The sequence below is a fragment of the Homo sapiens genome, chromosome 15, assembly GCF_000001405.40.
Source record: "Homo sapiens chromosome 15, GRCh38.p14 Primary Assembly".
NCBI lineage: Eukaryota > Metazoa > Chordata > Mammalia > Primates > Hominidae > Homo > Homo sapiens.
This window is the reverse complement of record NC_000015.10, coordinates 76,130,489-76,151,580: the sequence shown is the minus strand read 5'-3', so window position 1 is coordinate 76,151,580 and position 21,092 is coordinate 76,130,489. Positions and strand designations below refer to the sequence as shown.

The 21,092-nt window shown below is 47.9% G+C and overlaps 1 protein-coding gene across 4 annotated transcripts in view, besides 8 other annotated features; it reads right to left on the bottom strand.

The window, feature by feature from the left end:
- Positions 1-21,092, bottom strand: part of TMEM266 (transmembrane protein 266) — a 144,979-nt gene that overhangs the window by 53,383 nt on the left and 70,504 nt on the right. For 3 of the 4 annotated variants that reach the window (XM_047432151.1, XM_017021915.2, NM_152335.5), the window contains 2 exons: positions 17,280-17,413; positions 13,686-13,874 (listed from right to left, as the gene is read on the bottom strand). In XM_047432151.1, coding sequence (XP_047288107.1) covers positions 13,686-13,874; positions 17,280-17,317 — 227 coding nt within the window. In that variant the 5' untranslated portion in view covers positions 17,318-17,413. Of the gene's footprint in view, positions 1-13,685; positions 13,875-17,279; positions 17,414-21,092 lie in introns of those variants that run through there. The other variant, XM_005254160.4, reaches the window with a different exon arrangement.
- Positions 212-301: an enhancer, noted in NCBI's record as "active region_9873". NCBI's record gives its function as "activates an Ori minimal core promoter by ATAC-STARR-seq in GM12878 lymphoblastoid cells {active_cell/tissue: GM12878}" and the evidence as "EXISTENCE:reporter gene assay evidence [ECO:0000049][PMID:35858748]".
- Positions 385-963: an enhancer, noted in NCBI's record as "H3K27ac-H3K4me1 hESC enhancer chr15:76442959-76443537 (GRCh37/hg19 assembly coordinates)". NCBI's record gives its function as "activates a minimal SCP1, AML or CMV promoter by ChIP-STARR-seq in primed H9 embryonic stem cells {active_cell/tissue: H9 hESC(primed)}" and the evidence as "EXISTENCE:reporter gene assay evidence [ECO:0000049][PMID:30033119]".
- Positions 672-761: an enhancer, noted in NCBI's record as "active region_9872". NCBI's record gives its function as "activates an Ori minimal core promoter by ATAC-STARR-seq in GM12878 lymphoblastoid cells {active_cell/tissue: GM12878}" and the evidence as "EXISTENCE:reporter gene assay evidence [ECO:0000049][PMID:35858748]".
- Positions 1,237-1,500: a silencer, noted in NCBI's record as "fragment chr15:76442422-76442685 (GRCh37/hg19 assembly coordinates)". NCBI's record gives its function as "represses an EF-1alpha promoter that drives an FKBP-Casp9 reporter gene in an ReSE screen in HepG2 liver carcinoma cells {active_cell/tissue: HepG2}" and the evidence as "EXISTENCE:reporter gene assay evidence [ECO:0000049][PMID:32094911]".
- Positions 10,940-11,773: an enhancer, noted in NCBI's record as "H3K27ac-H3K4me1 hESC enhancer chr15:76432149-76432982 (GRCh37/hg19 assembly coordinates)". NCBI's record gives its function as "activates a minimal SCP1, AML or CMV promoter by ChIP-STARR-seq in naive H9 embryonic stem cells {active_cell/tissue: H9 hESC(naive)}" and the evidence as "EXISTENCE:reporter gene assay evidence [ECO:0000049][PMID:30033119]".
- Positions 11,859-12,153: a silencer, noted in NCBI's record as "tiled region #3592; HepG2 Repressive DNase matched - State 12:CtcfO, and K562 Repressive DNase unmatched - State 12:CtcfO". NCBI's record gives its function as "represses a minimal TATA promoter and a strong SV40 promoter by Sharpr-MPRA in HepG2 and K562 cells {active_cell/tissue: HepG2 | K562}" and the evidence as "EXISTENCE:reporter gene assay evidence [ECO:0000049][PMID:27701403]".
- Positions 11,859-12,164: a biological region, named in NCBI's record as "Sharpr-MPRA regulatory region 3592".
- Positions 12,005-12,164: an enhancer, noted in NCBI's record as "active region_9871". NCBI's record gives its function as "activates an Ori minimal core promoter by ATAC-STARR-seq in GM12878 lymphoblastoid cells {active_cell/tissue: GM12878}" and the evidence as "EXISTENCE:reporter gene assay evidence [ECO:0000049][PMID:35858748]".

The window sequence follows — 21,092 nt, the reverse complement described above, 5'->3', positions numbered from 1 at the left end:
GGGTGGGGCAAGAGTGTTCAGGTAGGTTCTGGGCTCCTTCCTGAAGAGCAGAAACACAGGGCAGGGCTGCACTAGACTGCAAGACCACAGACCCCAGGGCTCCAGAACAGGGCCCTGGAGGGTGGGTTGGGGGCTGGGAGGCTGGGCTGAAGCCGCAGGCTTTTGGTTGACCAGTGTTTGAAAATCCCAAGCTGCCAATAAAATTTCATCTGAAATTCAGATGACTCGGACATTCCTAGAAGACTGTGTTTTAGCAGTGAAATAGAATGTGACCAGTTTCAAAAGATTCCTGAGTGGTTCAGTAATGACTCAAGGGGCTTAGTGGGCCAAAGGGGAAATCAGCGTTGACTGTTTAATTAGAGAAGGTGCTTTCCTTCTGTCTTCAGCGTCGGCCCATCAAGGCCCCAGGGCTGGTTCTCAGGGTGGTGTTATCCCCAGAATTGCCACGAGAGGGCAGGCGTTTCCCAATGTCCTGTCTTGGTGCTGCTGTAGGGAGGGTACAGCTCCAGGGGCCCGGCTTGGGCTGCCAGAGTCTGCAAATACCAACAAGCAGATGGCATGTCCTGGCAGGTGGGCGAGTATTCTACCATAAGGTAGTCACTCTTGAGGCCTCAGAGAAATCCTGGGGTGGGAGGGGAGGCTGAGTACCTTCACTGCTTCTGCTTCATAGTCTTAGGTGTTTGCATAAAAAATTCAAAGAATAAATTCTAGAATATGAAAATGAACTGACAAACTTCCGGCAGAGGCTTTATATGCGATAAAGCCACAGGGGTGACCTGGAAGGAGCTGGCTCAAGCCACTGCTCTGTCAGGCAGCGTTCCCAAGCCTGGCACTGAAACAGCCCCAATCTGGAAGGGGAAGTAGAGCCGTGTGGCGCCAGGATGGGGAGGGCTGTGCTTGCTTCTGTGGGGCCTGGCCTCTCCCACCCCACAATCCACTATGCAATTGGTCTGCAGTGGCTGCCAGGCTGTCTGTGGCTGGGAGGACACGTGGTGGCAGAGAGGGGAGTGACTGCACTGAATCTCCTGAGGTGCAAGCTGGGGAGTGGCTAGAGCAGGGGGACCGTGGAGACCCTCAAGGTGTCCTAAAAGGGGCTCACAGGCAGTGGAGAGTCACGGCATCAGCCCATCTCCCTGAAGGCAGCCAAACTAGCTAACCCTGTCGGCCCTACTTTGAGATTTTCATCCTTCAAGTTCTCAAGGAAGGAGCTGAGGGAGGTGATCAAAATGAGACTGGAAGCTGCCTGGTAGCAGGAGCCAGATCGAAGCCTGGGGCCCTGGGCTTCCCCAGCTGCTGTCACTCTGCCTTCAGGAAGGCTCTGCTAGACAAGGGCTCAAAAGCTTTCTGGACTGCAGAGCTCTCCAGCAGTGGATACAAGCTATGCCCTTACACCCCCCAAATGCACAAAACTACAGCACTGTGCATAACATTCCAGGGAGTGCACGGACTCCTTGAATCTCACTGACGGATAATCTAAGGATACCCAGGCTCCAGGTTAAAGCCCCAGGATTGGGTAATTTGGGGCCCCGCCTAGCTCCACTCGTGCCAGTTCTATGATGCTGAACACCTGTGTCCTGGGTGTCACAGCTGACTTTGCCAATGGTTTTGTTGGTCAGCAAAACCCCTGGGTCCCACTTTACTATATTTATTCCAGATGATTAAAATATTGGAGAAAGCCATGAGGCTGACTGAAATGTAACTTCTGTCATTGACATGGACTTTAGTTTTATTGATTAAACAAACACTTAAGATACATATTGTGCACCAGGAGCTGTTGTGAGCACTTTACAAATGTTAACTCGTCTAGTTGCTTTAAAAGGCAAGTCCTTTTTTCTCTGTTGTCATGGAGGGGAAAGCCAGACTTTTCCATCTGTTTGGCTGTTGCTGGCAACTACTGTCTCCAAATCACAGTTGTACCACTGACTGAACTCTGAGTGCAATCGTTGAGCCTTAGTTTCCTAATCCCTGAAATGGAGATATCTGCTTTGACAGGTTGTTGTGAAATTTAAAAATATTAAAAATAACATATGTCAAGCCCATAACACAGTGTTTATCCTATGATCTATGGTGATGATTTAGATACACGGTCATTAGAAGGGGGATGAATAAACAGTTTCAACATTCATTCCATTCCAGGCATGGTTCTCATATGACCACCAAATGCTAGGCACTGTATTGGGTACTGGGCCCAGGAGGGTGGTCAGAGCCTTCATCCTCACGGAGCCTACAGCCTTATCCATGAACTCTGATGATCCAATGTGTTCCTAGTTCTAGACCACTCAAAAGGCAAAACAAACAAGGGGAGGAAAAAGGCAGGAAAGAAATGGGCTCACTGTGTATGATGTCTCTAAAGAGATGCATAATCTCAACCTGTGAGAACCATCAACCCAATGCCTACAGGGACACCCTTTTACAAAACATCTGCAATTGTTAGTGGGGCTTCTTTCTCACCCAGAGAGAACCAGAACCACAGGAAAAACACTGTTAAGCTTCCCCTTTGTTCCCTGTACCCAATTCCAGGGGGCAAGCCACAGCAGCACACAGACTCTGAGATGCGGGCTCATAAACACACACCACGAAACCAGAACTCTCAGGATGGAGGTGAAAGGTGACTCTCCCAGAGCTCTGGGATAACTAAATAAATTGAAGTTTCCATACCGGCAGCTTCAGTTCTGCAATCAGAGCTAAAGATTAGCCCTGCTGCCTTGCGGGAAGAGAGGGAGGAGGGTTGTGTGCAGCTGGGGTCACCAAAGTCTGACATTTGCTTGTCCCAGAATCTCAGATTTTTTGCATCCTCGGAAATGTCAACGCTGGGAAACAGTAGGGTATGGTGGCAAGAGCTCAGGTGGGGGGTGAAGGGGTGGACAAACTGCCATACACTTGGCAACCCCCACCCAGGGCACAGTGGCCAACACACACCATGGATTGGCTGTCCCTTCTTGGGGGGACAAAGGACACTGACCACACATCTCAGAAGGGCTGCCATGTAGGTGGGCTGTGCTCAGGAGCCACTTGTCAAGTCTTTGGCAAGGGGTTCAAGGTTGACTTAGGGGTGGGAATGAGGTGCTGTTGGATGAAGTGCCTGTAAAGTCCCCGCCACCCTGAAGTCCTCAATTCTGGAAACCGGCCCCAAGTCTGAGAATCTCCTTGTGCTGTGCTTGGAGGACAGGACTGGCCTGGAGGCGGTCAGCTTCCTACCGGGTGAGAACGAGGGAACAAATCGGCACCCCACCCACCAGCTCTTTCCAGGTTTGCTGTGGTTTGGCAAATCCTGGGTCAGCCATGATCTCCCTCCTTCTATTTGGCCAAAGTCAATATTCAGGTGCTTCTGCAGATGACTGGGGACTCCCATTCCATCCCAGCACCATAAATTCACCTAACTTTCCTTGCCGGACGTGGCCACGCATTTAAACTTTCCTCCCCTCTCTCCAGGAAACATCCCCGACACACCCCCGACCCAGGTGGTCGGAGGCGCTCCGCCGCCATCTAGCGGTCACCCGCCGCTGTACACCCTGCGCCTTGTGAGCAGGTGGGGACGGACGGATATTTTGCTGAGAAATAATACATCTGTGAATGTATTGCCTTTTTTCCTTTTTTAAATTTATTTATTTTTATACAGGGTCTCACTCTGTTGCCCAGGCTGGAGTGCACTGGTGCAATCCTGAGAAGCTGGGACTACTGGCGCGCACCACCACGCCTGGCTAATTTTTAAATTTTTGTAGAGAGGGGTTCTCACACTCCAGGCTAGTCTCCAACTCCTGGCCTCAAGCGTTCCGCAGGCCTTGGCCTCCCAAAGTGTTGGGATTACAGGCGTGAGCCACTGCAACCAGACTTAATTGATTTCTTTAGGAAACTTCTCTGGGGTTCCTGGACCCCAGGACTACAGGAAAGGCAGCTAACCAGTGCTCATCAGGAAAAATGTTTTCGTCTAAATTAAACTTTTATTCCGTTGTTGGGGCATCAAGAATTCTCCTTGAAACCGGAGCCTACTAAAAATATCAAGGGAGTGAGGGGTCACAGGGTCAGTTTGGGGTCCAGGGACAGCTGACTTGCTAGAGAAAGGAGTGGTGTTTTATTATAGACAAATCTCACTGGCATCAAGAAAGTGGATTATCGAAGCTCCTTTCTTTTCCTCCCTGAGAAAAAAAGGATGCAAAGCCATCCTAAATCATATGATGCCGAATTTCCAGACTCTGCAGTTGCATGGCCATGGCAGGGATCAATCTGCCTCATAACCCTGAACCCCAAAAGGCTTTTCCTTCCTCTACCAGGACGTTAAAACCTTACTAAGTGAAGTTGGCATGTTCTGAGGCAAATCTGATTTCCTTCTTCTAGGGTGACTTTGTGGAGAAAGCATGGAATTAGCAGGGATGCTCAGAGGTGAGCCAGCCAACAACCACAGTAGTAACTTCTGAGGCATAAGAAGCCTGGGGCCTCCCGTGCAGCTCTTCCTCGACTCCACAGAGATCTAGGGACCAGCTCCCAACTCCCTCCAAACACTCCAAACAGAACTGGGCTTCCCCTTCTCTTCTAATCCTTATTTGCATGCAGCCCCACCCATTCACTCACTGATTCATTCATTCAAGTCATTCCTTGATCAGTCAACACCCCTGTTCCAGGCTCAAGTGATCTGATCCCTGCCGTGAGGAAGCCCCTGGCCCGGTACTGGAGACCGACTTGTAAAGAGAGGAGCAGAGCTCATTGTCACCCCTGGGTGTGGTGATGGAGGTAGGAAAGGTGCTATGCATACACTGAGCTGAGGACCTAGCCTGGTGGGGTTAGAGGAGAGAAGACTTTCTGGAGGCTGTGGCCCTCAAGCCAGACAGTACAGGAAGAGAGAAGGGTATTTTGGGCTATGGCTTAGTAGGTCCCTACCCCTCCTTTTTCTTTGTCCCCAGTCTTTGCTCACTGGCATATCTAAAATTATTTCAGTCCTTATTTAGAGATGTTTGCTATATTGGGTCTGTCTTATTTTTCTAACCTGAAATCCCGAAAAATATCCCTGTGCCCCCATTATGTTTTTTTCCTCTGAATGTAAAGTTTGGCAGAAATGTGCTGTTGGCATCATCTCTAAGTAATAACATCCATTTATATCTGCCCAAGACCCGAACTTCCTCCAAGCTTCCCCTGCCTAGGAGTCCAGCGCTGACCTCTCAGGCTGGGCCTTTTAGAACCCTAAGATATAAAATAACTGTCTTACTAAACACTGAATATCTTTCATTTCTTACTTTATTTTTATTTTTGACAAAGACTATCCCACTTCCTCACCCATGACCATCTTTGCACCCTCTTTTCACTAAAAAGATGGGGAGCATCTTTATCTCTATGTGTGCACAGAGTGTCATTTATAAAGTGGGGGTGACGACCCCCACCTTGCACCACCATTTCTCCTACGGGTCTGTGGGCCTCTCTAGGGTGCAGACTCTGGTCTCTCTGAATTTTCTCTTTTGTTGCCTGTGGTCTCACCCAGACCCTGAAAACTAACCAGACCTTCAATGTACTGTGCTTGGTTAAGAGAAAACAGAACTTCCATTCTGCACCATGATTCTTGCAAACTCAATGTCACTCTTCCAAAGATAGATGATTGGCTCACTGACAGCCTCACTGACAGCCTCATTTTTCTGTACTTCACTTTTCCACCATTGAGTGGGATGACATCTGATAAGAACATCACAGAATGAGAACAAGAAATCAGGGGCTCTGGTTATGTGCAAACACAAAGCCCCAGCACTGTCCACCAGGACAATGGACACTGGTCCAACTGCATTGGAATGAAAGCATCAACTGACCAAGTCATTGAAGAAACAGCCTAAGAAGGCAGAGCTTTCCCAAACCAAACAATGTCTAGAGACGCTGGATGAAATTAAGGGCTAATTCGAGACTGAAGGCTATGAAAGGAGAACTGGCTTCCTTAAAAGCTGTGGATGATCCTCTCTCTAATGTTCACACTATCCCATCCCACTGGAGTAACAGTAATGTACTCTGGGAAATGATACAGTTCAAGGGGAAGGCCTGATTGGCTTATGGATTTTCTGTGCCTTGCCATGTGACCCAATTCTAGCCAAACATACATGAAGGAGAGAGCTGCTGGAGGCTTCTGGGAAAGTTCTTTGTTGCTCTTAGAAGACAGTGATGGGCAGCCACTCTCACCTGCCAGACATGAAAGAGGAAGGATGTGGCCTGATGACCACAGGCAGCCCTCTTGGAAGGAACCAGTGGAAATCACCATTTCCAGTGGAAATCACTGGTTCCTGTCGCAGCAGGAAGGAGGCCTGGGGTGCTTGTAAATAAGCCGAAGTGTACATGTGGCTCATTTTGGTAGTAATGGGTTGGTGAGGTCCAGGTTCCACACATTAGGGGTCACATGGCTCTCAGAAGCCATGGGATGAAGTTTACAACATCAGGATGAAGCCGACACTGCGGCCAGCAGAGTGCAGAGATGAAAGGAATCTGGTTCTTGTTGGCACTGGTGAGTCTCTGGACCAATCTCAAAGCCACCCTTGCCCTGGACTCCATGGTACCTGCATCAGTGAGTGTGAGATGGGTTTTCTGTTACATGCAGTCCAAAGCAACTGGCTGATGGAATTAACAATCCTTCATGAGAATGGTGCAGAGAAGAGATATTAAGGCAGTAGAGATTTACAAGGCTTGGAGATAATGGAGTATGAGGCATGAAGGAGAAGACATTGAGCTGGCCCCTGAGGTTATCCATGTAACAGGGCATTGTGGGCGGCTCAGCTGGGGTGCAGATACCTCCCCTGTTCCCCTTCTCCCCTTCTCCTGAGTGTCTGTTCACGTCTGTGGACACGCATGAAGGTTTTTGTGTGATGACTATTGAGGGAGGGAGGCACCTGGTTGGGGATGGGGTAGAGGCAGGGAGGGAGAGGCAGATGATGGAGCAGGCATGATGTGCCAGCCCAGCTTCTTGGGTTGAACTGGTGACCTGGGTGTAGAGTGGTGAAGGCCAGAAGCACATAGGACTGGAGCTGGGGCCATAAGCCGCGCACTGACAGCATGGTACAGGCTTGGCATGGGGGTAGCTTTCCTTCCTCACTCTGCATGGAGCCCACACGGCATGGGCTTTGGGTTTCTGAAGCCCCTTGACTTGGTACTGGCACTCCCAGAAGGGACACCATCGGCAGCAGTAGCTTCATGGGCACTGGACATGGTCAGGAGGGAACCAGAGCAAGGGAGGAGGAACACAGACTCCAGGGTGACTACGGCTGACTATAGGTGACTAGAGGTAACCACAGCAGGCTTCGTGTAGCTTTGGGGCATCTTGGAACCCACTGGTACTTGTTGCAGCAGGAAAGAGACGTAGGTGCTTGTTAAAATGAGCCAAAATGCACATGGCATTTTGGTAATGGGTGGGTGAGGTCTAGGTTCTACTGGTTAGGGGTCCTAGAAAATACGTATTGAGAAAAGACAGTTCAATCTGGGGCTTGCTGGGTTTGAGATGGCCAGGACAGGCAGGCCATGGTTCCTCAGGCTGGATCTGAGTGCTGTCACTGAAAAGGCAGTTTTTAGCAATGATTCAGGTCAGACAAGAACATTTCTCCTCTCAAGTATGCAGCCAACTCAGAGGCAGAAGAATAGATCATTCCACAGACACTCATCAGGATTCTGAGATACGTTTGGGATCCCTGTGAGTATGTCCAGGAAAGTAGCTGGATCTAAGTCGGGAGTGTTAGAGAGAGAGAGAGACCTAGGCTAGAGACACGACTTTGAATGTTACCAGTTGAAGGAGATTAATTTAAGTAATAGGAATGGATGAAATTACCCAGTGTGTAAAATTAGTAGAGTGAAAATGGCCAAAGGCAGAAAACAAAGAACCCAACATTTAAAGAACAAGCAGAGGAACCTCAAACAATTTTTAAAAGGCCTGGAAGGAACAGCCAGAGATGGAGGAGGAAAATCAGGAGAAGGGCTGGGCACGGTGGCTCATGCCTGTAACCCCAGCACTCCGGGAGGCCGAGGCGGGAGAATGGCTTGAGCCCAAGAGTTCAAGACCAGCTTGGGTAACATGGCGAGACCTTGTCTCTATTTTAAAAATTAAATAAAAAAGAAAATCAGGAGGTCATGGTTATAACAGCAGACACAAGGAGGCTGGAGAGGGAGGGAGTAGCTGACAGTTTCAAATGCTGGACAAAGGACAATAAGGATTGTAGCAACAAGGAAGTGGCTGATGCGCTTGAGAACAGTTTCCATGGTGTGGACGAGGCTGAAGCTGGACTGCAGCAGATTGAGACATGAATGGGAGGGGTGAAGGGGAGGTAGCAAACGTCACGAGGCTTTCAAGAAGTTTGACTTCAAAGAAAAAGAGAGGTAATGGTGGCTAGCAGGGACGTGGAGTCAGGGGAGGACACGAGACTGGAGTGTGATGACATGGGGTGAGGAGGTAACTGATGAAGCAGGTGCCTGAGAAGGCGGGAGGGGAAGGCAATCAGAGCTCAAGGAATGGGGCAGGTCCTAAAAGGGAGGAAGGAAGAGACCGGGGTGCGGTGCAGCCCATCCACGACTGTGCCTACTTTCTGAGGGTACTGGGAGAGGAGGTCATCTGCTGAGGGCAAGAAAGAGGAGACTTGAGGCAGACACAAGCGATCAGAACTGGCCACCTTGGGACTAACCAGGACTGCAGAGGACTGCCAGGCAAAACTGAGAATCAAGTCGAGGCTGGAGACCTTGAGTCTGGGGAGGCACCCAGTCTGCACAGCCATATGATTTTCCTCCCTGAGCCATCGGCAGCCTGAGTGCAGAGGTGAAGAGAGGAGCAGCAGACAGCTCTGCCGTTTGGGCTCTGCTAAGCAGCTATCTGGAGGACAAAGGGCTTCTAGGCAAGTCAAGGAGCTTGGCCAAGATGGGGCTCTGACTTCACATCAAGGCGACTGCTCCTTCTTCCTCACCCCGCAGGACTTTCCTGGACTTAAAGCACACCAAACCACCTCACACCCATTAGGAAGGCTGCTATCAACAAAAAGTAAAATAGCCAGTGTTGGTGAAGACAAGGAGATATCACAGCCCTCATGCACTGTCAGGTGGAATGTAAAACAGTGCAGCAACCACTGCAGAAAGCAGTATGGCAGTTCCTCGGAAAGTCAAAAATAGAATTACCCTGTCAGCCAGCAATTCCCGCTTTTGGATATATACCCAAAAGCATTGAAAGCAGGGTATTATTATTATTATTATTTTGAGACGGAGTCTCGCTCTGTCACCCAGGCTGGAGTGCAGTGGCTGCGTGATCTCAACTCACTGCAACCTCCGCCTCCCAGGTTCAAGTAATTCTCCTGCCTCAGCCTCCCAAGTAGCAGGGATTACAGGCATGCGCCACCACACCCAGCTAATTTTTGTATTTTTAGTAGTGACGGGGTTTTGCCATGTTGGCCAGGCTGCTCTTGAACTGCTGACCTCAAGTGATCTGCCTACCTCGGCCTCCCAAAGTGCTGGGATTACAGGCGTGAGCCACTGCACCCGGCCTGAAAGCAGGGTTTTGAAGAGATATTTGTACAGGTCTGTTCATAGCAGTATTATTCACAGTAGCTAAAATATGGACGCATTTGAGAAAAAACAGTCCAGTGTGGGGTGTGTCCACTGACAGATGAATGGATAAACAAAGTGTGGTATAGTCACACAGTGGATGATTATTCAGTTTTAAAAAGGAAAGAAATTCTGACACATGCTACAACATGGATGAACCTTGTGGACATTATGCTAAGCAAAATAAGCCAGTTATAAAAGGACAAATACTGCATGATTTCACTTATAGGAGGCACTTAGAGTAGTCGAATTCAAAGGGACAGAAAGTCGAATAGTGGTTTCCAGTGGCTGGAGGAGTGGGGGAACAGGAAGCTACTGTTTACTGGGTATAGAGTTTCTAGTTTGCAAGAAGAAGAGTTCTGGAGATGCATGCTGGTTATAGTTACCCAACAATGTGTATGTCCTTAATGCCACTGAAGCCTACGCTTAGGAATGGTTAAGATGGTACATTTTGTTACATGTATTTTACCACATTTTTAAAAAATGCTTTTTTAAAAAAGTACACTGAGGCTAGGCACTGTGGCTCACGCCTGTAATCCCAACACTTTAGGATGCAGAGGCAGGCAGATCACTTGAGGTCAGGAGTTTGAGACCAGCCCGGGCAATATGGTGAAACCCCATCTCTATTAAAAAGAAAAAAAAAATTAGCTGGGCATGATTGCACGCGTCTGTAATCCCAGTTACTTGGGAGGCTGAAGTGGGAGGATCGCTTAAACCTGGGAGACGGAGGTTGCAGTGAGCCAAAATCGTGCCACTACACTGCAGCCTGGGCGACAAAGCAAGACTTTGTCTCAAAAAAAAAAAAAAAAAGTATACTGAGAAGTTAAAGGCATTGGACAGGGTAGCTGGAAGTGGAATCACATGGACAATGCATGTTACCCACAGTCACAGCCACGATGTTAGAAAGGGAAGGCTGAGAAGTGGAAGCCCAGTGCTGCCAGCCAGGATCAAGGGATCAGGATCACAGAGATAGGGCTCTATTCCCGTCTCTGTCATGTTTTGTTGTTGTTGAGACAGGGTCTCACTCTGTTGCCCAGGCTAGAGTGCAATGGAGCAATCATAGCTCACTAAAGCTTCGACCTCCTGGGCTCAAGTGATCCTCCCACTTCAGCCTCTGAAGCAGCTAGGATGACAGGTGCGTGCCACCATGCCTGGCTAATTTTTTTTTTTTTTTTGTAGAGATGGGGTTTTGCCATGTTGCACAGGCTGGTCTTGAACTCCTGGACTCAAGTGATCCTCTCACCTCAGCCTCCCAAAGTGCTGGGATTACAGGCATGAACTAGCATGCCCCGCCCCCGTCTCTGTCACTGTGTGACCTTCCACAAGTTCCTTGTACTCCCTGGGCCCTGCTGCCTTTGAGAAGGTTTAGGATGGATGTGTTTAGGTCTCTTCCAGCTCTAACGGTCTCAGATTCAGGGAAATTGAAAAGCCCTGAAATATCACGGAGCTCAAGAGCACTGGGAGGCGGGCAGCGGGGCCACGGAGCACTTTCTGCCAGGGTCCCTGAGGTCTCTTCATTCCCTACAGAAAAGGTTCATTCCTATACATAACACTGGCCTTCGTAGGAAGAGGCATCTTGAACAAGACTGAAACCAAGCTCAGAGCTGTAAATGAGGACTCTTCCTTTTGTTTTCCATTGCCCCAGAAAGGGCCGGGTTGGACATTTTGGGAAAACCCCAGGAAATGCAGCAAGAGCCAAGAAGCCTCGCGGAGAGAGGCCGTTCCTCCCTCGCAGTGTGTTTTTGCTTTGCTTCAGTTTCCCCTGGCTCCGGTCCTGTGCCTGCGCTTCCTTCCTCCAGGAAGCCCTCTGGCTGCCAATCGGCGCCCCCAGCTGAGAGCTCCAGCAGCGAGGCAGATCCCTTCCTCGGGCTGCTTCCTATTTACCCAACGGGAACAGCTTTCCTGGGCACACCTGGAGATTCAAATCAAATCAAAGGCCTCTCTGCCTTGCAGGCGCTTCATTTGGATTCGTTTGTTTGGGAAGGAACCTTGCAAAGGCCCAATTTAGAGGCAAATTGAATGATAAGGCAAAGCCTCTGCCAGCCTTGGGGTTCAGGCTAGGGAGTGATACACAGGGGATACCTGGAAAGGGGTACACCACAGCACAGGACCCCTGAAAGGGGTACATCACAGGGTGGTACACCTGGTGGGGGAACACCCATAGCAAGGTCCACCCGCGGTGCCGTAACACGCACAGGGGGCACATGTGGACACTGCTTTGCTCCGAAGCAGAATCCCTGAAGGTTTCCCCACTTTTCTCCATACCATGCTACTCTTCACGTGAAAAGGGCCTAACAGGCTCAGGCCGGGGGCAGGAAATGAATTCTCCGAAATAGCTAGGGCATGTTAGAAGGCTGCACTACTGCTTTTGACCACCAGAGAGCAGTGACGCAGTGACTTGCTGGGTGCTCAGAGAAGGACCCACCAGCTACATCATTTGCAGAGCCCAGTGAAAATGTGGGGCTCCTTAAGAATTTCAAGACAGCAGCGGCAGAGCATTTAGCCAAGTGTTGGGACCCTTCTAAGTACGGGGCTCTGCGCTACCGCACAGGTCACATGTGCACGAAGCTGGCCCTGGCCCAGGGGCCTCAGGTTTCAGCCCGGCCTTCAAGATGGTAAGGACCTGACAGAGCTCAGGACAGTGCTGCCACTGCAGGTGTCCCTTAGCTGCCTCCGACCTGCTTGCCTATCCTTTTTTGTCCAGTGTCCTGATGACAATATGCATAATACTTGGAAAAATTATATTTTCAGAGAAAGCCACTGGGGTGTAGTTTCTGCAAAAAAAGGTGTGTGGTTTCACCATTGTTAGGCGGTTTATCTCAGGAAGTGGGAAGCTCCTTCCAGAAACAAGCCCAGGGAATCCAAGCTCTGCAAATTTAGCTTGAGCTAAGGCTTCTCGTTTGCTTCTAAAATACCTGACAACCCTTCATTTTTATATTCAAAGCAGCCAGCATGTTCCAAAGTGTTTACTGGCACCCAGGAAAGAAAAGTCCAGAACTGGCTCCTAAGGTCCTGCCAGGGTGAAGCTAGGGAAAGCCCTTGTCAGAGTCGGAAGTCTGATCTGCTGTGTGACCCTAGGACCTGTTCCTACCCCTCTTTGGCCTTCAGCTACACCACCAAGCCCCATGAAATCAAGGACATCAAACTGGTGTGTTCTCCCCTGCCCCACCTAGCTCTTGCCCTCTACCACTCACCTTCAGGAAGTATGTTTGTAAGACAGACCACGCTAATGAGAAGTGAATTGGGAAACGAAGGCATCCAAGCTGATTGACAAGCTAAGTAGGAGGAGGTAAGGACCACCTTTTTGAATTGTGGACCCACATATTCCGCATGCCTTCCCTGGAAAGGGAGAGCCCTAATGTCTGCAGAGCTCCTAGCCGAATTCTCTAGATTCCCTTACATCCTAAGCATGTTCCTGCATGTAGGGTACATTCTTCCTGGTTGCTTCCTAGTGACAGTCTGCTTTATAAAGGGAAAGTGCAGCTCAAGTCCATCCCTTATGGGCTCTGTGACCTTGGGCAAGTCCCTAATCACTGTGGGTCCCCTTCTTCCCAAGTGTACATAGAGGGGATTGGATGGGTCATTAAGGAGTGCCTCGGTCCTAAAATAAATTTTATGATTCTCCTAAGAGGTCGTCTGGCAGGTATTGTCTGTGCCCAGTGCCTTTTTCTGAGGAAGTAATGCGTGAGTAGGAAAAGGGCCTGAGTGGTCTGCTGTGAACCTCTGCTGTCTCACTAGTTAGCATCTCTCATCTTGGCTGCTGCTTCTTGGAAGATATCCATAGAAACCCAGGGAATTTTTTTTTTTTTTTTTTTTTTTTTTTTGAGACAGAGTTTTACTCTTGTCGCCCAGGCTAGAGTGCAATGGTGCAATTTCAGCTCACTGCAACCTCCGCCTCTCGGGTTCAAGCAATTCTCCTGCCTCAGCCTCCTGAATAGCTGAGATTACAGGGCTGCACCACCACACTCGGCTAATTTTTGTATTTTTAGTAGAGACAGGGTTTTACCATGTTGGCCAGGCTGGTCTCGAACTCCTAACCTCAGGTGATCTGCCCGCCTCTGCCTCCCAAAGTGCTGGGATTACAGGCGTGAGCCACCGCGCCTAGCCTAACCCAGGGACTTCTTAGCTAGCTCAATGGTCCCAGCACCTACCCTTCTCTTTGGTAATCTTCGTCCAGATTTGACAGGAGCTGCGAGCCCGCCGTGGAGAGATCGACAGCAGCCAGGGGCAAGTCCCGATAGGCAAAGTTCACCAGCTGCACAGGAGCAATGCTCTTGGTTTCTTCGTCTACTTGTTGGGAGATGATCTCAACTTCAGAAATTCCTCCTTCTATGGCAGGCCTGGGTTGGAGAGGAGGAACAATGGGAAAGAGTTATCTTCAAGGGCCAAAAAATTCTTCCATTCCTCAAGGAAAGGAGGGAGAATGCTGCTATGCCAGTGGAGGGCTGAGGAAGCTTAAGGTTGCCCCTCTTCCCTGCTGGCCACCCGCGGACCCGAGGACTGGACTGAGGCCCTAACAGTCCCATCTCTTTCAATGGTTGGGGAAAAGTGGGAGAATGGGAAGAGGAAGTGCTCAGACCTGGAAATATGAGCTTTAGTGGGGCAGAGTCCTTCATGAAGGGGAGGTAAAGACCCAGATGGATAACTGCCAGCCCGCAAAACTATGGCTTAGACTTTCAGGACTCTGGGTCACTGGACTCTGTATGGGAGTAAGATATTCTTTTAAGTTGTCTCCTGAGTTTCTTTGTAAAGGTGTTTTGAAATGTTTCTATTCTCTATTCCACAATAGAGAAAACAGGTTTCTGTTCACAACTGGATGTACTGTGGTGATTGAGGAGCCTGCATGGAGACTTGTAGAGACCTAGTGGGCCTTGGGGTGGTGAGGACAGGAGGCTCCAGCTGTCCCTGGTAGCCACTCCCTTCCTATTTGAACTGGTGCTACCATATGTCTCTTCTTAAGGTTGGGAATAGGGGATGGCAGTCACTTGATCCAATGTCTGAGGGCTTGTGGGTCTCTTCCTATCTTACTGTCAGGCTCACCTTGGGCACTGCCAATAACTAACCACTCCAGTGGCATTCCCGGGCATCTCAGCCAGGGCAGTACCGCCTCCCAATCTACCAGGGGATATTTGGCAATTTGTGGAGGCATTTTTGGTTGCCACCATGACCACGGTTGGTCATTATTGACATTTAAGTAGGGCTGGGGACGCTACACATCCTGCAATATGTCAATAACGACTAAAAACTGTCCTGCCCACATACCCACAGCAACCCTGTCCAGAGATGCTGGACTAGAAAACTTCCCCTTAGCTTCCTGGGGCACCATCTTCGGTCCATCCAGTATGTCCTTGACCCTATCTCATCCTGTAGAATCTGAGGGGCTCAGTCTTGTGCCTCTGTCCAAACAATGAGAGTTAGAAAGGAACAATTGTATAATGGCAAGGAGTAAAATTTAAATATTGGAGGGAACATTGAGGGTCAGTGCCCAGGGTAATGAGGGCCCAGTTTTAATACTGAGATGGCAGTCCTCTCTGCTGTAAACTGCTCTTGGGCTCTGGTGCTGGTTTGAATGCCAACTTCTGCAGGGCTCCTCCTGAACCTCAGTTTCTCCAATCAGAACATGAGGAGGTAAAATAGAATATTCCTAAGGGCTGTTCCTTCTCACTATGATCTGACATAGGTGACAGACATATGGAGAAGATCGGAGGAGCTCCAGAGTGACAAGTCCCTATACTTGTGTGGGAGCTCTAAATTCTAAACTTTTCCAACAACCATTGAAATCTAACCAATAATACACAGCTGCAGGCCGGGCATGGTGGCTCACGCCTGTAATCCCAACACTTTGGGAGGCCAAGGCAGGTGGATCACCTGAGGTTAGGAGTTCAAGACCAGCCTGACCAGCATGGTGAAACCGTCTCTACTAAAAATACACAAAATTAGCCGGATGTGGTGGCGCATGCCTGTAATCCCAGCTACTTGGGAGGCTGAGGCAGGAGAATCGCTTGAACCCGGGAGATGGAGGTTGCAGTGAGCTGAGATTGGGCCATTGCACTCCAGCCTGGGCAACAAGAGTGAAACTCTATCTCAAAAGAAAAAAAAAAAAACCCACAGCTGCAGTTATCCCGGAAGTTCAGAGATTAATATACCTACTTCTCTTTTGCTTGGATTATCCGATAACTAAGGAGAAAGTGAGATTTTTATTTGAATGCCACAGCCTGGCTGCCTAGACCACCTGAATTCACCAAGTAATTTCTAATGCCCAATTCTCATTTGTAGGCTTTATTTAAACCTTTGCTTTTTGCTACCTGTCAAGCACAGATAATAGTACTCATCATTGCTTGACATTTACAAAATGACTCAAGATCTTTAAACGAAACAGAATGTGAGGTTTCAGTGTTTCTCAACAATTGATATAAAAGTGTGGGTGTTTATGGGGGGAATCCCAGCTCCCCCAGATGGTTCCCAAAAAGCAGATGCTGGGTTGAATTTGTTCTCTTTTCTTCTGGACTACTCAAGGAAACTATGGATCACTGAACTAAACAAAGAGAACTTTCTGATCAATAAGAGAAATTAACAGGATATGGCTCTAAGAAGTGCGAACAAACTATTTCTGGCTTTCCAACGTTTCTGCCTCACGTTCCCCTTCCATCAGTGGTCCCAGCGGCCCGGCACCATCTCTGGCCATGTGGTGGTCACCTCAGCAGAGAGACAAGGCCCCCTCTGGTGAGGTGAAGGTCCCACAGTGTATAGGCTATATTTAGCCTACACCCTTTCCTTAGATACAAAGAACGGTATGGTAGACAAAATGTATTAATGGTTCTATTCTTTACCTCTCCTTGAGCCTATGCCCTTTGGCATATAACTTCATAGCTCCTTCCATCAAAAATGCTGAACGCTTGATTCAGCATTCAGCCATGTGACTTGTTTTTGCCAACGAGATGTTAGATGGTAGAAGAGCCAGGTTAGACACCAGCAGAGGCATGAAAAGGCTCTGTGAATTTCTGCCTGTGCTCTTGTACCTCCAACATCACCCATGAGAGGGTGAGCAGCCTAGCCTACTGGAGGATGAGAGACGTGGAGCAGAGTCCAGCCTCCTCTAGATCAGCTGACAGCCAGCTATCACCCACATTTAAAAGTCATCCCAGCCAAGATCAGAGGAGCTGTCTAGCTGAGTACCCCAGACATGTGAGCAATAAACATTTTTTGTTGTATTCTACTAAGGTTCTATGGTTGGTTGTTACACAGCATTACTGTGTCAATAGATAACAGATTCATACTCCAGATGACAGAGCAGTCAGGCCCATATCTAGATAGGCCAGGACAGTGTGGTGTAATAGAATGAGTGCTGTTTTCATCTTAGTATTCATACCAACCAGTTGCAAAACACAAAATAAGTGACCACCTTGCAGGTGCTTGGTAAGATTAAGTGATTGGTTCATATGGCATCTCAGGTTTTGGGAAATGAAAGCAATTCTCCCTTAAGAATTCTGCCCCGGGTTTCATAAAGCCTGGTTTTAGAAACCCTCTCAGATTTCTAAATTTCCTTGCGATTCCCATTTTATTAATTCACCTTCAGCGCTTCCTAATCTTGTCTTGAGTCTTGCTTTTGAAAGGTTTCTCCATTTTCTGTGGCCTCCTGCTAAAGGAAATGTACATAGTGGCTGCCTAAATTAGAAGATCTTCATCTTCTGGGAGATTTATAGCCACAGTTCTGGATCCAGAGAGCAGATCCCAGCATTACTTACTGTGGATTGGTCATGTTGAAAGATGGAGCCACAGCCATGGGTTTTCTTGGTGTTTAGTGGGGCTCAGCTGTCCTGAAGCCTGCTGTCAGCATTTCCAAGCGTGGGTTCTACAAGACACATACAAATATAGTGCCCTGAAAACAAAAATAGGAACTTATTACCTTCAGATGCCAAACCAAAGTCCTCCTAAGCTCATCTAAAAATGGGAGTCCTTAGAACTTTCTTCCATCTAGCACTTTTCTTCAAAGTAATGTTGAATAGATTCTTACAATTACCCTATGGAAGAGTAATAATAAGCATAATTTCTCTTTTTTAGATGAGGAAACAAGGCCAGAGTGACAAAATGACTTTTTTGTGTCACAGAGATGGTAGAAGAGCCAGGTTAGTGCCCAGGTTCTCTGACTTCTCATCCACAGTTCTTCCCACTAAACTGCTGTGCCCCCCAAAACAGCATCCCTTTATACTGCAGCTTTGAGAGGCTTCAAAATAAGGTTTGTCTAAAAAATCTCAAATGTTTTCCATGTATTTTTTCTCCCACTTCCCTTTCCCTTCCAGTAGTTCTGTCTTTTCATGCAGGCTTTTCTCTTCTTCTCCTCTCAGCTCATTCCGAGAGCGGAGAGAAAGAATAGATCCTGGAGCTGGGCTGCCACAGTCAGAGCCTCACTCCCACCTACTAGCTCTGTGACCTGGAGTGAGCTACTTACACCCCCATCCTCAGTTTCCCCACCTGAAAAATGGGGATAATAACAGAACTAACTACATGAGGTCATGCCTGTAAGACACTAGCATAGCGTCTGACACTTAGTAAGTACTATATAAGTGTTGGATTTCATTATTATTATTTATTTTATTTATTTATTTTTTTTAGATGGAGTTTCACTCTTGTCACCCAGGCTGCAGGGCAATGGCATGATATCAGCTCACTGCAACCTCGCCTCCTGGGTTAAAGCGATTCTCCTGCCTCAGCCTCCCAAAGTAGCTGGGGTTACAGGGATGCACCACCACGTCCAGCTAATGTTTTTGTATTTTTAGTAGAGACGGGGTTTCTCCATGTTGGTCAGGCTGGTCTCGAATTACTAACCTCAGGTGATCCGCCCGCCTCGGCCTCCCAAAGTGCTGGGATTACAGGCGTGAGCCACCGCGCCCGGCCTGATTTATTTATTTATTTATGTTTAGACAGGGTCTCACTCTGTCACCCAGGCTGGAGCACAGTGGTGCGATCTTGGCTCACTGCAGCCTTGACCTCCTGGGCTCAAGTGACCCTCCACCTAAGCCTCAGCTGGGATTACAGGCACGTACTACCACACTCAGCTAATTTTTTGGACTTTTGGTAGAGTCGGGGTTTTGCTATGTTGCCCAGGCTGGTCTCAAACTCCTGAGCTCAAGTGATCAACCTACCTCAGCCTCCCAAAGTGCTGGGATTACAGGTGTGAGCCACTGTGCCTGGCCAGTAATAATAATAATAATAATAATAATAATAATAATAATTACTATTATTATTATTTGAGAGACAGAGTCTCGCTCTATCTCCCAGGCTGGAGTGCAGTGGCGCAATTTTGGCTCACTGCAACCTCCACCTCCTGGGTTAAAGTGATTCTCATGCCTCAGTCTCCTGAGTAGCTGGGACTACAGGCATGCGCCACCACCTGGGCTAATTTTTGTGTTTTTAATAGAGATGGGGTTTCACCATGTTGGCCAGGCTGGTCTTGACCTCCTTACCTCAAGTGATCCGCCCGCCTCGGCCTCCCAAAGTGCTGGGATTACAGGCATGAGCCACTGTGCCCCGCCCATAATAATTATTTTTTTATAAATTAAAAGGGCATAGTCTGTTGAACCTGAGTATATTCCAACACATTTAGATGGCTGAATATACTCTTAAAAACTGGATTGGTAGGCCAGGCGCGGTGGTTCACGCCTATAATCCCAGGACTTTGGGAGGCTGAGGCGGGTGGATCATGAGGTCAGGAGATCAAGACCATCCTGGCTAACACGGTGAAGCCCTGTCTCTACTGAAAATACAAAAATATTAGCCAGGCATGGGGGCAGACGCCTGTAGTCCCAGCTACTCAGGAGGCTGAGGCAGGAGAATTGCTGGAACCCAAGAGGTGGAGCCTGCAGTGAGCCGAGATCACGCCACTGCACTCCAGCCTAGGCGACAGAGCGAGACTCCATCTCAAAAAAAAAAAAATTGGATTGGTAAACAGCATATACTTTTCTATCAACCAGTGCTACAGTACCATCTAGAAGTCTTCTGGGAGACAGGGCAACCCAGCAGAAGATATGCAGACAAAATAACTCAGAACCCAGGTTCTTAAAGGAGCGAGGAAGTTCCTTTAAGCAATGTGTAATTAAGAAAAGAGAGTGCTCAAGTTAAAGAAACTTAAGGAAATCCTGGGAAAGTCTGAACTTAGAGCAACTGGAATTAACAGAGACAGAGAGCTCTCTAAAAGCAGAAGGGCAGCCAAGGAGGAAGCCACCAATCATATCCACACCAGATGTTTGTGGGGCAATAGAAGCAAGGGACAAAGGCTCAGAGCCAACACCAAGGAGAAATGGACAGATGTTTTGTAACCACATCTTACCAAGGGCTTCACCTTCCCTTAGTATTCCTTAGTAAGGAGGGTCTAAGCATGAAAAACAGAACTGTCCTCTATAGTATTTGGGATTTCATATCCATTTTATACTAAGTCTTATAAAATTCCATAACAGATTTAATCAGTATCAATCTTTTTATGTTCTCTTTATAAAACCTCAAGTTAATAAAGTCTTCTGAGACTAAGATTGATCACATAGAATGTCTAAACCCAACTGACAATGAAGTCAGAATTGAGATATCCATAAATGGGAAGCCAGGTGAGCAAGCCTTCTTTCCAGAATGGTGTTTTAACAACAAGTTGTATTTCCAAATGAGGTTTGTTTGTTTGTTTGAGACAGAGTTTCGCTCTTGTTGCCCAGGCTAGAGAGCAGTGAGCAGAGGCGTGATCTCAGCTCACTGCAACCTCCGCCTCCTGGGTTCATGCAATTCTCCTGCCTCAGCCTCCCAAGTAGCTGGGATTACAGGTGCCTGCCACCACGCCTGGCTAATTTTTGTGTTTTTAGGTTTCACCATGTTGGCCAGGTTGGTCTCGAACTCCTGATCTCAGGTAATCCACCCACCTCAGCCTCACAAAGTGCTGGGATTACAGGCATGAGACACCATGCCTAGCCCCAAATTAGTATTTTACATGCTACACAAGGTATTAGCCCTGTGGGGGATATAATGGGAAGGTCATTACTTTCATGGACCTTCCTGTCTCTCTGGGCAGGCAAATTTAAAAAATACAAAACTCCAAACTTTTTGCACATTTCTAGTAGTGGAGAACAAGTAAAAATTCACAAATCTGTATTTATAAATAATAAACATTAATTACCACATTAATACAGCCAATATAAAACATATACAAAAAAGAAGTAAAGATTATGAAAAATTTTTTTTAATTTAACTTTTTAGGAAGGAAAATTTCAAATATATACAATTGTAGAGAATTGTATCATGGACCTCTAATTCCCCACCACCCAACGTCAACGTTATTAACTCATGGGCAATCTTTTCTCTGTATCCCTGCCTGTCTCCACCACTCATGACTGTTTTGGAATAAATCCTAGATGCCGTTTCATTCACCTGTATTTCAATATGTAGTTCTAAGGATAACGAGGAGAAGGATTCCTTTTAAAAGAAGTAATCACAAAACTATCATCATCCCCAAGTCAACAATCTCTTCTTTGAGACACAGTTTCACTGTCACCCAGGCTGGAGTGCGCTGGCGCGATCTT